This window comes from Homo sapiens, chromosome 7 (genome assembly GCF_000001405.40).
Source record: "Homo sapiens chromosome 7, GRCh38.p14 Primary Assembly".
Classification (NCBI taxonomy): Eukaryota; Metazoa; Chordata; class Mammalia; order Primates; family Hominidae; genus Homo; species Homo sapiens.
In genome coordinates this window covers 155341210-155355166 of record NC_000007.14, presented here as the reverse complement: position 1 = coordinate 155355166, position 13957 = coordinate 155341210, and the positions used below count along the sequence as shown (strand labels likewise).

The following is a 13957-nucleotide window of genomic DNA, read 5'->3' as shown; positions in this document are numbered from 1 at the left end:
TGGGCTTCTGTGACCCTGGTGAGCTCCCTGCCCCATGTCCCTGCCTTCCCAGCAGGAGACAGGGGCTGGGCAGCACCAGAAACACACAAGCCCTGGGATTCCCAACCTTCTGTCCTGCCCTCGGGCTCCATGCCCACAGCCTGAGCGTGACAGGATGTGTCTGACAGCATGAAGGGATAGTGTGCCTGTGTGTGCAAGTATGTGCACGTCATGTGTGTGCAAGTGTATCACATATGTGCGTGTGTGCATGTGAATGTGTGTGTCGTGTGCGTGTGTGCCTGCATGGCATATTGGTGCATGCAAGTGTGTGCATGTCTTATGTGTGTGCAAGTCTGTGTCATGTATGTGCATGTGTGTGCACGTGCGTGTGTGCATGCCGTGTGTGCGTGCAGGTGAGTGTGTGTGCACGTGTGTGTGCATGCTGTGTGTGTGCGAGTGAGTGTGTGTGAGTGTGTGCATGCCATGGGTGTGTGCAGGTGAGTGTGTGTGCACGCAAGTGTGTGTGCATGCCGTGTTGTGCATGCCGTGTGTGTGCGAGTGTGTGCGCACCTACATGGTGTGTCTGTGCATGCAAGTGTGTGTGCATGTCTGTGTGTGCATGCCATGTGTGGTGTGTGCAGGTGAGTGTGTGTTTGCGAGTGTGTGTGCACCTACATGGCATGTCTGTCCATGTAAGTGTGTGTGCATGCTGTGTGCATGTGCAGGTGAGTGTGTGTGTGCGAGTGTGTGTACATGCTGTGTGTGTGTGCAGGTGTGTGTGTGCACCTGCATGGCGTGTCTGTGCATGCAAGTGTGTGTACGTGTGTGTGTGTGCACCTGCATGGCCTGTCTGTGCATGCAAGTGTTTGTGCATGCAAGTGTGTGTGCAGGTGTGTGTGTGTGTGAACTTGCATGGCATGTCTGTGCATGCAAATGTGTGTGTATGTGTGTGCTTTGACTGGACCTTACTATGCCAAAATAGAGAATCTGTTTAATTCAGTAAGAGAGACAGTGCTAATTTAGTGGGAACACAAAAGTCAGTCCCCTTAAAAAAAATCTGAGTTACCGTCTTCATCCAGCCAGCTGGTATTAGTTCAGGTAAACAACTGGGATTGGCGATTGCAGATGGGGGTCCTGGGGCCAAGAGGACAGGATAGTTGGCCACAAGAAAGATACTTGCTGATTGGTTCTCCTTAGAGCTGAGCAGCAATAAATGCCTCGTAGAATTATTATATCGAGGGAATGAATTTTAAAAATTTATGCTTCCCCGTGTTCTTCTCTTTGTCACATGATTCTTTAAAAATATCATTCTCAAAAGCCCATCTTAAATATTTAACAAGATCATTCCTGATGAAAATCTAATAAAAGTTGGGGGCTGCCTTTCACATAATGTATTTGCTGTATAACCCCAGGTGGGGAAATTCCAGAGGGCACTTGAGCCTCTCCTGTGTGGGCCGGTCTGTTCATCTTCTCTGAGTACCCCAGCCCCACACCCGTTGCAGGAACGCGAGATGTGTCTCTTGCCCTTCAGCGGGGAGGCAGGACACCCGAGTCCAAGGATGGGGATCCCATTTCCTGGGGACCACAGTTTTCACCCCATCTCCCCTACAAGCAGCTGGCTGGTAAGATCACACTTACCAAATGGTTTGGTTAGGATAAGGAGTGCAGCCAGGTGTCCCCTGAGTTCTAGTGTCTGGGGTCCTGGCCTGCAGCCCCGGAGTCTGAAGAGCCAAGCAGAGACATGTGGTTGGTGGGGTGGAGGTGGGGTCTCCCAGGGAGGCAAGCTTGCTGCCTGACTTGATCATTCCTAAAGACGAGGGCTTGGCTTTATGCCTGGACATCTTTGGAGCATCTTGGGCAAGATTGCCTTTGCTCTGGAGAAGATAATTCTTGTCATAGTGTCCTTTGGGAATGGAGTCAGCGTCTGAGAATAAAGCGCAACTTAAGCGTGATCCTGGGGTGTCCTGTCCAGTGGGTTAATGGCACTGATGTTTTCACAGTGGAGTATTTCTGCTAGCTTCAGTTGCTTTTAAATTGTTAAAAACATTGGAACGGTCGGTGCCTTGAACGTTTTCAACTAGTTCCTCCTAAGACCCAGGAGAACACTTGTAGCCTAAAAAATGGCAGAGAGACAAATTAAATGATAATATTGCACCTGCTCCAATCTGTCATTTAGACGCTCTTAATGAAAAAACAATGAGTGACTTCGCCTTTCTACTGTGCTGGAAGCTTTCGCCACAGTTATTTAGGTTACCAATAAAATGCCACAATCCCCATCCCTGGACACACACACACAGACACACACATGCACAGCACTGCCACCCACAAAAGGCTGCGGTTAAACCCAATGCATTTTCCACCCCAGGCTTCCCCTGTTCTCCCAGGACAATGGAAAAGCTCCCGGCATTTGGGGGTGCAGCTCCCCTTTAAGGTGCCCCCCCAGATCAGGATGATGACAGTGTCTGCTGTAGGTCTAGCCCCTCCCCTGGCTCTTTATATATGAGGTTGCACCAACAGAGTTGCAGACATCAGCCTTTTTGCACCTCAAAATGGCCCTTTAATGGGGACCGGCTGGTCCTTGTCCCACTCGGCCCTCACAGCAGCCCTGAGGGCACCAGTTGCCACTTGGACAGCTGAGGAAACTCAGAGGGGTAACTGCCCACGTTCAGCTGGTGACGAACGGCAGAGGCTGGAGTTGAGTCCCACATCTGCCTTTTCCTGCCTGTGCGGTCTGAGCGGCTGTGGAGTTCTCTGGGCCTCAGTCTTCTCATCTGAGAAAGAGGATAAAGACAGCCCTCCTCTTACAGGACTGTCATGAAGCTTAGCCGAGGTCACGCATGTTAGTGTGAGCCACGTTCCTGGTGCTGCGATGCCCCAAGGCGGGGCTCGACCCACTGCTGTTCCATTTCATTCACGGTGTTCATCCAGGTAAGCCTCGCCCCGGTACACATCAGGAGGTGAAAGGAGTCAGAGAGGGATGGCTCCTCCCCAGACTGAGCCGTCCAGCATCCTCCTGGGTCCTCGCTCATGTCCGTGTCCCCTGCACACCAGCAGAGCAAGGGGCAAGATGTGCCACCCTATACATACCCCAGCCGGAAGCTTCTCGGGCCACTTCTGCTACTGTCCTGGGCCACATGTTCCCTTAGCTACATGGAGACTGGGGAGCGAAATCTTTCACAGAGTATCCGGGGCAGCCTAGATGGTTCTAGAAGGAAAAGTGGATACTAGAGGACAAGTGGCAGTCTCTGGTGCAGCCACAAATGCATCAGGTGGCTGGACTGATCTAACTGAATAGGCACAGTAACTTGTCCACATGTTCACAGCTGCCTCTGAGGGGGTCTCTGCCTCTTGGTCCCACCCCAAAATGGAGCTTCCTCCAGTCCAAAGCAGTCTCAGACCCAAAAGTGTGAGGGAGGCTCTTCCCTCCACTCCTGCAGTGGGACCTTTGCCGGTGTGGCAGGAGCAGCACCATGACGGCTGTGATGAGGCCTGGGGCTGTGCAGACCCAGGAGGGCCCTGGCTGGGCTGAGCTGTGGCTGAGGGTCCCTAATGGGTCCTGCCCAAGGTCTTAGGTGCCCAGCCGCCTTCCTCATGCCTCCCCAGGCTTTCCTCCTCCATTTCACCTTCGCTGTCCATCCTGTGGAGGAAGAAACCAAGAGACACTCACAGAAAGGGTCTTAGGGGTAAGAGACAAATGCCCAGTTCAGGGGGAGCGTATGGGCTTCCTGCAACTACCACGCAAAGCACCACAGACCATGTGGCCTCAGCAGAAATGGATCATCTCACGATTCTGGAAGCCGGATATCCAAGAGCAAGGCGTCGCAGGGCCACAGTCTCTCCAGGGCACCAGGGAGGGGGTCTGTCCCATCCTCTCTGGCTGCCAGTGGCTCCCTGGCTGGCCACAGCATCACTCCACTATTCCTCTGGCAGTCTCCTCATGCGTTCCTGTGTCCATATTTCCACTTGTTACCAAGACGCCGGCACACTGGATTTGGGGCCACCGTATTCCAGGATGACCTCATCTGAACTTCTTACAGTGCCAAAGACCCTATTTCCAAATAAGCTCATGTTCTAGGTGCTGGGGAGTTACGCTGTTAACATATAAATTTTAGGGGGAACACATTTAACCCATAGCAAAGGTTCTATCTAGGGTGGGGGAACGGGGAGAGGCCAGGAGGAGGGGAGCCCAAGGGGGCTGAGCTGTGTTGCACGTTCTGTTTCTTAACAGGGCGGGAACAACTTGTATCCATTTCATTATTCTTTGTATGTTTTATTTGTCTTAATGAAGTAAAGAATGGAAAATATATAAACCCACCACAATAAAGGGAAGAGGAGGAAACAACACCTAATGCAATAACGAGCACTGGGTTGTGTGGCCCAGGAAGCCGGGAGGGGAGCCCGGCCGAGGAGACCGCAGGAAGCCGGGAGGGGAGGCCGGCCGGGGAGACCGCAGGAAGCCGGGAGGGGAGGCCGGCCGGGGAGACCGCAGGAAGCCGGGAGGGGAGGCCGGCCCGGGAGACCGCAGGAAGCCGGGAGGGGAGGCCGGCCGGGGAGACCGCAGGAAGCCGGGAGGGGAGGCCGGCCCGGGAGACCGCAGGAAGCCGGGAGGGGAGGCCGGCCGGGGAGACCGCAGGAAGCCGGGAGGGGAGGCCGGCCCGGGAGACCGCAGGAAGCCGGGAGGGGAGGCCGGCCGGGGAGACCGCAGGAAGCCGGGAGGGGAGGCCGGCCCGGGAGACCGCAGGAAGCCGGGAGGGGAGGCCGGCCCGGGAGACCGCAGGAAGCCGGGAGGGGAGGCCGGCCGGGGAGACCGCAGGAAGCCGGGAGGGGAGGCCGGCCGGGGAGACCGCAGGAAGCCGGGAGCGGAAGTCGGCCCGGGAGACCGCAGGAAGCCGGGAGGGGAGGCCGGCCGGGGAGACCTCAGGAAGCCGGGAGGGGAGGCCGGCCCGGGAGACCGCAGGAAGCCGGAAGCCGGGTCTCTAGGAAGCCGAGGGAGTGTGTGAGCCCAGCAGGCCGGGAAACTGGGACCCGAGACCCCCGAGGGACAGCATGAGAGGGAAGAGGAAGAGTGGCTGGACGTCTTTCGGGGAGCAGTTAGGCGCTGGCATGGTCTTCCAACCCTGCTCCGGCCGACGACGAGGGCATTGGTTTCGGGAGAAATTGAACCAGAAACGCTCTGTCCTGGGAGCAGCAGTCACGGGACCGGGGTTCAGGGTAGGGCCCAGGCTGAAAGTGGGGATTCGGGGAAAGTCTACCCACTGAGTGAGGCCCAGCACACGCGGGGTGAAGAACCCCAAAGTCTTGCTCCGGCCCTGAAGTGGCCTTGAGCTTCCGCACAGCGACACTGCAGGTCAGAAGCCTGTGCAGCGGCGTCTTCAAACATTTCAGGGAAATGCCTTCCGGGCTGGAAACCTGCTCCAGCCGCGTACTCCTTGACCCTACTGGTGGAGCTCCGATGATGGCCGAGCCTGCACTTGCGAGGTCTCTGCACCCTCTCTGAGCTTCCTGCGGGAGGGGGGCGGGGCCGGCTACGCTGCATGGGGAGCAGCTGGGTTTCCAAGGCAGGAGAACCCCAGGACGACGCGGAGGAAGCCTCCAGGACGGAGGTGGTGAAAGGAGATCTGCAGGCTGTGTGAAGGACACTCATGCCTTGCCTTCCAGAGTCCCTCCTTCGCTTCTCAGCAGTTTTGGTGGCTGGCTCCAGACTCCGTGGCTCTCCTGCTCTCTCCACCTCCCAGGTCTGTCATTGCCTACAAAGGGCAAAGTGTGGTGCCCGGTGGCAGGACGAGGCAAGAATGAGCGTCGTCATCTCCTCCCACAGGCACCGAGAGTTTTGGCCCTGTTGTTTTTGTGCAGGAAGAATTCCCCAGCCTTCTCTTTTGTTTTTCCCCCTTACTAATATTATTTTCCAGCTGTTTACCCCCACGAATGAAAAAAAGTGTATTTTTCTTCATTACTGCGCCTGCTACCAAAGTGACGCATTTACAAATTCATTTTGGCAGAGGCTGCAGCATCTGTTATAATTTTTACCTGGTCCCCAAGGGCAAAGCTTCTTGCCTTGCTGGCTTCAAATTATTGTTGGTAAGTATCTTCTCTCTCTTCCTAGGTTTTGACAGTAGGCAGGAGCATCTGGGGATTAATGGAAGGCCCCATTCTCCACCAGGTCAGACAGACGGGTTCGCAGCCAGACACCTGAAGGCAAGTAAGGCCACCTGGCCAGAGGTCCTGGCATGGGGCAGGCAGTGAGCAGGGTGGGACATACCTGGCAGCCCTTTCCCTCTGCAACTGCACCACTCAGCCCTGACAGTGGTGCTATGTGGGTGCTCTCTCTATGTGGGTGCTCTCTCTATGAGTGCTCTATGTAGGTGCTCTCTCTATGTGGGTGCTCTCTCTATGTGAGTGCTCTCTATGTAGGTGCTCTCTCTATGTGGGTGCTCTCTCTATGTGGGTGCACTCTCTATGTGGGTGCACTCTCTATGTGAGTGTTCTCTATGTAGGTGCTCTCTCTATGGGGTACTCTGTGGGTGATCTCTCTATGTGGGTGCTCTCTGTGAGTGCTTTCTCTATGTAGGTGCTCTATGTGGGTGCTCTATGTGGGTGCTCTCTCTAGGTGCTCTATGTGAGTGCTCTCTAGGTGCTCTCTCTAGGTGCTCTCTCTATGTGAGTGCTCTATGTAGGTGCTCTCTCTGAGTGCTCTCTCTATGTGGGTGCTCTCTATGTGAGTGCTCTATGTGGGTGCTCTCTCTAGGTGCTCTATGTGAGTGCTCTCTATGTAGGTGCTCTATGGGAGTGCTCTCTATGTGGGTGCTCTGAGTGCTCTCTCTATGTGGGTGTTCTCTCTATGTGGGTGCTCTCTGTATGTAGGTGCTCTATGCGAGTGCTCTATGTGAGTGCTCTATTTATGTAGGTGCTCTATCTATGTGAGTGCTCTATGTAGGTGTTCTCTATGTGAGTGCTCTCTCTATGTGGGTGCTCTCTCTATGTAGGTGCTCTATATGGGTGCTCTCTCTATGTGGGTACCCTATGTGGGTGCTCTCTATGTGTGCTCTCTATGTGAGTGCTCTATGTAGGTGCTCTCTCTATGTGCGTGCTCTCTCTATGTAGATGCTCTCTCTATGTGGGTGCTCTCTCTATGTGGATGCTCTCTCTATGTGGGTGCTCTATGTAGGTGCTCTATGTGAGTGCTATGTAGGTGCTCTCTGTATGTGAGTGCTCTCTATGTAGATGCTCTATTTGGGTGCTCTCTCTATGTGGGTGCTCTCTCTATATGGGTGCTCTCTCTATGTGGGTGCTCTCTCTATGTAGGTGCTCTTTTTGTGGGTGCTCTTTATGTGGGTGCTCTATGTGAGTGCTCTCTCTATGTGGGTGCTCTCTCTATGTGGGTGCTCTATGTGTGTGCTCTCTCTATGTGAGTGCTCTATGTGAGTGCTCTCTCTATGTGGGTGCTCTCTCTATGTGGGTGCTCTCTCTATGTGAGTGCTCTCTATGTAGGTGCTCTCTCTATGTGGGTGCTCTCTCTATGTGGGTGCACTCTCTATGTGAGTGTTCTCTATGTAGGTGCTCTCTGGGGTACTCTATGTGAGTGATCTCTCTATGTGGGTGCTCTCTGTGAGTGCTTTCTCTATGTAGGTGCTCTATGTGGGTGCTCTATGTGGGTGCTCTCTCTATGTAGGTGCTCTATGTGAGTGCTCTCTAGGTGCTCTCTCTATGTAGGTGCTCTCTCTATGTGAGTGCTCTATGTAGGTGCTCTCTCTGAGTGCTCTCTCTGTGTGAGTGCTCTATGTGGGTGCTCTCTCTAGGTGCTCTATGTGAGTGCTCTCTATGTAGGTGCTCTATGGGAGTGCTCTCTATGCGGGTGCTCTGAGTGCTCTCTCTATGTGGGTGTTCTCTCTATGTGGGTGCTCTCTCTATGTAGGTGCTCTATGCGAGTGCTCTATGTGAGTGCTCTGTTTATGTAGGTGCTCTCTCTATGTGAGTGCTCTATGTAGGTGTTCTCTGTGAGTGCTCTCTCTATGTGGGTGCTCTCTCTATGTAGGTGCTCTATATGGGTGCTCTCTCTATGTGGGTACTCTGTGGGTGCTCTCTGTGTGTGCTCTCTATGTGAGTGCTCTATGTAGGTGCTCTCTCTATGTGAGTGCTCTCTCTATGTAGATGCTCTCTCTATGTGGGTGCTCTCTCTTTGTGGATGCTCTCTCTATGTGGGTGCTCTCTCTATGTAGGTGCTCTCTCTATGTGAGTGCTATGTAGGTGCTCTCTGTATGTGAGTGCTCTCTATGTAGATGCTCTATTTGGGTGCTCTCTCTATGTGGGTGCTCTCTCTATATGGGTGCTCTCTCTATGTGGGTGCTCTCTATGTAGGTGCTCTTTTTGTGGGTGCTCTCTCTATGTGGGTGCTCTCTATGTGGGTGCTCTCTCTGTGAGTGCTCTCTCTATGGGTGCTCTATGTGAGTGCTCTTTCTATGTGGGTGCTCTCTCTGTGTGAGTGCTCTCTCTATGTGAGTGCTCTCTCTAGGTGCTCTATGTGAGTGGTCTATGGGGGTGCTCTCTCTATGGAGGTGCTCTATGTGAGTGCTGTCTCTATGGGGGTGCTCCCTCTGTGTGGGTGCTCTATGGGGGTGCGCTATGTGAGTGCTCTGTCTATGGGATGCTCCCTCTGTGTGGGTGCTCTCTCTGTGGGGGTGCTCCCTCTGTGTGGGGGCTCTATGGGGTGCTCTCTCTATGGGGGTATTTTCTCTAGTGGGTGCTCTGTGTGAGTGCTGTGTCTATAGGGTGCTCCCTCTGTGTGGGTGCTGTCTCTATGGGTGCTCTCTCTAAGGGATGCTCTCTCTATAGGGGTGCTCCCTCTGTGTGGGGGCTTTCTCTATGGTGGTGCTCTCTCTATAGGGATGCTCTCTATGGGGGTGCTTTCTTTAGGGGGGTGCTCTATGTGAGTGCTCCCTCTGTGTGCGTGCTCCCTCTGTGGGTGGTTTCGCTAAGGGGTGCTCTCTCTAAGGGGTGCTGTCTCTATGGGGGTGCTCCCTCTGTGTGGGGGCTTTCTATGGTGGTGCTCTCTATAGGGATGCTCTCTATGTGGGTGCTTTCTTTAGGGGGTGCTCTATGTGAGTGCTCCCTCTGTGTGGATGCTGCCTCTGTGTGGGTGCTTTCGCTAAGGGGTGCTCTCTCTAAGGGGTGCTGTCTCTATGGGGGTGCTCCCTCTGTGTGGGGGCTTTCTCTATGGTGGTGCTCTCTAGGGGTGCTCTCTCTATGGGGTGCTCTCTCTATAAGGGTGCTCTCTCTATAAGGGTGCTCTCTCTATGGGGGTGCTTTCTCTAGGGGGGTGCTCTATGTGAGTGCTGTCTCTATGGGGGTGCTCCCTCTGTGTGGGTGCTCTCTCTATGCAGATGCTCTATATGGGTGCTCTGTGGGAGTGCTCTCTATGTGGGCACTCTCTTTAGTGAGTGCTCTATGTGAGTGCTCTCTCTGTGGGTGCTCCCTCTATGTGGGTGCTCTCTGTATGTGGGTGCTCTCTTTACTGAGTGCTGTATGTGGGTGCTCTCTCTATGGGAGTGCTCTCTGTGTAGATGCTCTAGTGAGTGCTCTCTTTATGTGAGCGCCCTCTTTATGTGAGTGCTCTATGTATGTAGGTGCTCTCTTTATGTGGGTGCTGTCTTTAGTGAGTGCCCCCTCAATGTGTTACTTGCTCTATGCGATGCTCTCTTATGTGACTCTGCAGTCCCTGGAACCACTGAAGGGGCGGATGGTTGTTATAATCGGATGAGAGCAGCTAGTTAAAAAAGCAGATTGCAAGGCGGCTGGGGACTGAGTGGACCCGGTGGCTATTTCTATTACATTTGTAATTTGACCTTCCAGTTTTTTACGTTTCAGCCACTTACGTGTCATCCCTGCTCTCAAAGCTTCATTTTCAGCAATCTAGAAAACAAGCCCCAAGTCCCTGTCTCTTGTAACCTCAGTGAATACATTGCCGAAAGCTCCGTCTAGTGTGTATACAGCTTAAGGAAAGACAACCGACGTACACGCTGCATTTCTCAGCGACGAAATTCCCACTGCCTTGTGCCTTGAAGTCAGTCGCCGGCAGGGCTCCGCGCTCTCTCTAGGGTGGGCGGGAGTCGGAGCGCGCGGCGCGCGGATGGCCGCCAGGGGGCGCTGGTGCGGCGCGGCGGGGGCGAAGGGGCGGGGACTAGCCCAGGGCGCCACTCAGTCCCCGCGCGGGAAGCTTTGGGGCGCGCTGCCCTGCGGCGTGGGGCGCGGCGGCGTCCGACTGCGGGGTGACCGCCCCTCCTCGGGCCGGGGCCTCAGCAGCCGCCCTGGCCCCTGGATTGCGCTGGCGGGACAGGTGTGTGGGAGGAGGAGGCTGAAAGCGCCCTCCCACTAAGGACACACGGGCGCAGGGGAGCCCCGGGAGGGCCACGGGGGAGCCCCGGGAGGGCCACGGGAGAGCCCCAGAAAGGTCCCAGGAAGGACTCGGGAGAGCCCCAGGAAGCTCCAGGGAGAGCCCCAAGAAGGTTCCGGGAGAGCCCCCAGGAAGACCCCGGGAGAGCCCCAGGGAGGTCCCGGGAGGGCCCCAGGAAGACCCTGGCAGAGCCCGAGGAAGATCCCGAGAAAGCCCCAGGAAGGTCCCGAGAGAGCCCCAGGAAGGCCCCAGGAAGGTCCCGGGAGAGCCCCAGGGAGGTCCCAGGAGGGCCCCAGGAAGCGCCCGGCAAAGCCCCAGAAAAGGGAAAGCGCAGAACCAGCCCCAGGTCGGGAGGCCCCGCAGCAACAGGAGTGGTGTCAAGGGGAGGTTGCCTGCACCACGGCCGGCCGTAGGGCCCCACAGTGTAGGGTGTGGGTTTTTTCATTGTTTTGTTGTTGTTGTTGTTTATTTGTTTGTTTTTTGAGACAGTCTCGCGCTGTCGCCCAGGTTGTTGTGCAGTGGTGCGATCTTGGCTCCCTGCAACCTCCACCTCCCAGGTTCAAGCGATTCTCCTGCCTCAGCCTCCCGAGTAGCTGGGACTACAGGCACATGCCATCACGCCCAGCTATTTTTTGTATTTTTAGTAGAGACAGGGTTTCACCATGTTGGCCAGGATGGTCTCAGTCTCTTGACCTCATGATCCACCTGCCTCGACCTCCCAAAGTGCTGGGATCACAGGCATGAGCCACTGCGCCCAGCCTAGGGTGTGGTTTTATGAGGCACGATGCCCAGGTAATATCCCCAGGTGGGCCGCAGGTCACTAAAGGTGCGTTTCTGCCATTGGTGAGGTGGGAGAAAGGCCCTGTGCCTCACAGTGGGCAGATCTTTCTGGAATGCGAGCTGAGGCCGTTGAAGCGCCTGCTGTGTGTGGGGCAGAGACAGGTGACAAGCCTTGGCCTGCCTTTGAATCCCTGTCTTTGGCTCCAGGGGCCACTGGCAGTGTCTGAAGCTGATTTGGTTGCAGGAGGGGCTGCCACAGGCATCTAAACGGGCAGAGGCCAGGGATGCAGGCAGGCCCACCGCCATGCACACGATGGCCCCACAGAGAGGCCCCCAGCCCTGCACAGGACAGCCCCACACAGTTATCCTGTTCAAATGCCACTGAGGCGAGGCTGAATATCCTGGTCAAGAGAGACAAAGACAGGCATCCACAGAAATGCTCTGATGGGTTCCCAGGGGCATGGGGACAGGGTGAGGAGCCACTCAGCCGTACAGTATAGCCGTCCCCCTGGCAGTGTGGGCATTGGCCCTGTTCCCTGGGCTCCAGGACAGTTACTTGCAGATTTCTTGTTGCATTTGGACTCTGTTTACCATCACTCCATGGATATTAACAGGGTGCCTACACTACAAGTTCAGATCGCACGAGGGAGACCAGGTCCCCTTCCATCTGTTAGGACCGCAGTGGGGAGAGCTACAGTGGCCCCTCAGGCTTGGATTATGCCAGGTGAAACCCCAGTAGTTGCTGTGATCTGGCTGCGTGAAGTGCATGTTCTGAGTGGGTTAAGCAAGACAGATCGTACAGAGTTATTGGTGTTCAAAGATGAGTTAAACAAAAGAAATCAGTAGGGTTACTAAAGTAGAAATAGTTAAAACAGAACAACAGAAAACCAAGCTTGTAAACTGAATGCAGAATCACAAAGTTTGTGGAAAGAGGTGATGCATGATTCAAAAATCTATCAACATACCAGGAATTTGGAAGTGGGGAGTGAGAAAGAAGTAGAGGAAAGTGAAGATATTTGAACTATATTGGGCAGTGGGGGTTGGGGAGCTCTTGCTAACAAATATTAAAGAGGCAGATGGTAAAGAATGGTTTAGAAAAATGTCAAGGTTACTACTTTAAAAGTACAGAGAGCTTTCACATCACGAAAGATGATACGAACAAAATAACAGCCCTCCATAGCTTTCTCCCGCTGCCTCACAAAATACCGCAGACTGGGTGGCTTGAACCACAGACACTTATTCCTCAGGCTCTGGAGGTTGGAGGCCTGAGGGGTGGGTGCCAGCATGGCTGGGCTCTCGCGAGGCCCCTCTTCCAGGCTCACAGAAGGCCACCTTCTTGCCCTGCCCTCCTCAGTGGCCTTTCTTGGTGCCAGCATCGGAGGAGAGAATGAGCGAGCTCTCTGGTGTCCCTTGTTATGAGAGCACTAATCTCGTGGGATCAGGGCCCACCCTTATGGCCTCGTGTAACCTTAATGGCTGCCTTACTTCACGTACAGCCATACCGGGGTTTGAGGCTCCAGCATGGGAATTTTGGGGCCTCGCCAACATTCAGTCCATGGGAGGCCCCTAGGACGAAATGCTGGGCTTGAAGGAAACTGCATAAAGCAAAACAGAGACATCTCGGAGCAAGGGAGCTGGGGACCCACAGCCACACAAGGGAGCCGGGGAAACCACAGCCACGCAGACCATTGGTGTTTCTTGTTGTGATCAAGAGACAGAGTTTTTAAAGCAATGTTACACATAAACATCAAAACAATATTGAACTTCCAGGGAAGAGAATGGGTTAAGTGGGTTAGAATTTCCAAGATGTTAGGGGCTGAATTGTGTCTCCATAAATCCAAAGGATGAAGTCCTAACCCCTAAGACCTCAGAAGGTGACCTTATAGGGAGATAGGGTCTTTACAGAGGTCATCAAGTTAAGATGAAGTTGTTAGGGTGAGCCCTAGTCCAGTATGACTGGTGTCCTTAAACATGGGGGACATTGGACACAGACACCCACAGGGAGAGCCCTGCGGGAAGGTAAAAATAGCTGTCTGCAAGCCCCGGGGGGAGGCCACAGAATGTGGCTGTATTTGGAGCTAGAGCCATTCAAGAGGAAATTAAGGTCAAATGGGTTCACTGGGGTGGACCCTAATCCCATAGGACTGGTGTCCTTAGAAGAAGAGGAGATAAGGACACAGACACACAGAGGCATGACCATGTGAGGACCCAGGGAGATGGCATCTGACTGCAAGCCACAGAGAGAGGCCTCGGGAGAAAACAGCCCTGCCCAACCTTGATCTTGGACTTCCAGCCTCCAGAACTGAGAGGAGATACGTTTGTGATGTCTGAGCCCCCTGCATGTGGTGCGTTGCTAGGGAGTGTTTGAAAGCTCTTTCACCACGTCACAGCAGGTGGGTCTCAGGCTCTTGGTTTTCACTGTGTCACAGCAGGTGGGTCTCAGGCTCTTGGTTTTCACTGTGTCACAGCAGGTGGGTCTCAGGCTCTTGGTTTTCACTGTGTCACAGCAGGTGGATCTCAGGCTCTTGGTTTTCACTGTGTCACAGCAGGTGGGTCTCAGGCTCTTGGTTTTCACTGTGTCACAGCAGGTGGGTCTCAGGCTCTTGGTTTTCACTGTGTCACAGCAGGTGGGTCTCAGGCTCTTGGTTTTCACTGTGTCACAGCAGGTGGGTCTCAGGCTCTTGGTTTTCACTGTGTCACAGCAGGTGGGTCTCAGGCTCTTGGTTTTCACTGTGTCACAGCAGGTGGGTCTCAGGCTCTTGGTTTTCACTGTGTCAAAGCAGGTGGGTCTCAGGCTCTTGGTTTTCACTG

The 13957-nt window shown here is 54.4% G+C and overlaps 3 annotated features.

Moving 5' to 3' along the window:
• Positions 4314 to 5179: an enhancer, noted in NCBI's record as "H3K4me1 hESC enhancer chr7:155142691-155143555 (GRCh37/hg19 assembly coordinates)". NCBI's record gives its function as "activates a minimal SCP1, AML or CMV promoter by ChIP-STARR-seq in naive H9 embryonic stem cells {active_cell/tissue: H9 hESC(naive)}" and the evidence as "EXISTENCE:reporter gene assay evidence [ECO:0000049][PMID:30033119]".
• Positions 5180 to 6046: an enhancer, noted in NCBI's record as "H3K4me1 hESC enhancer chr7:155141824-155142690 (GRCh37/hg19 assembly coordinates)". NCBI's record gives its function as "activates a minimal SCP1, AML or CMV promoter by ChIP-STARR-seq in naive H9 embryonic stem cells {active_cell/tissue: H9 hESC(naive)}" and the evidence as "EXISTENCE:reporter gene assay evidence [ECO:0000049][PMID:30033119]".
• Positions 10032 to 10421: a silencer, noted in NCBI's record as "silent region_18845". NCBI's record gives its function as "represses an Ori minimal core promoter by ATAC-STARR-seq in GM12878 lymphoblastoid cells {active_cell/tissue: GM12878}" and the evidence as "EXISTENCE:reporter gene assay evidence [ECO:0000049][PMID:35858748]".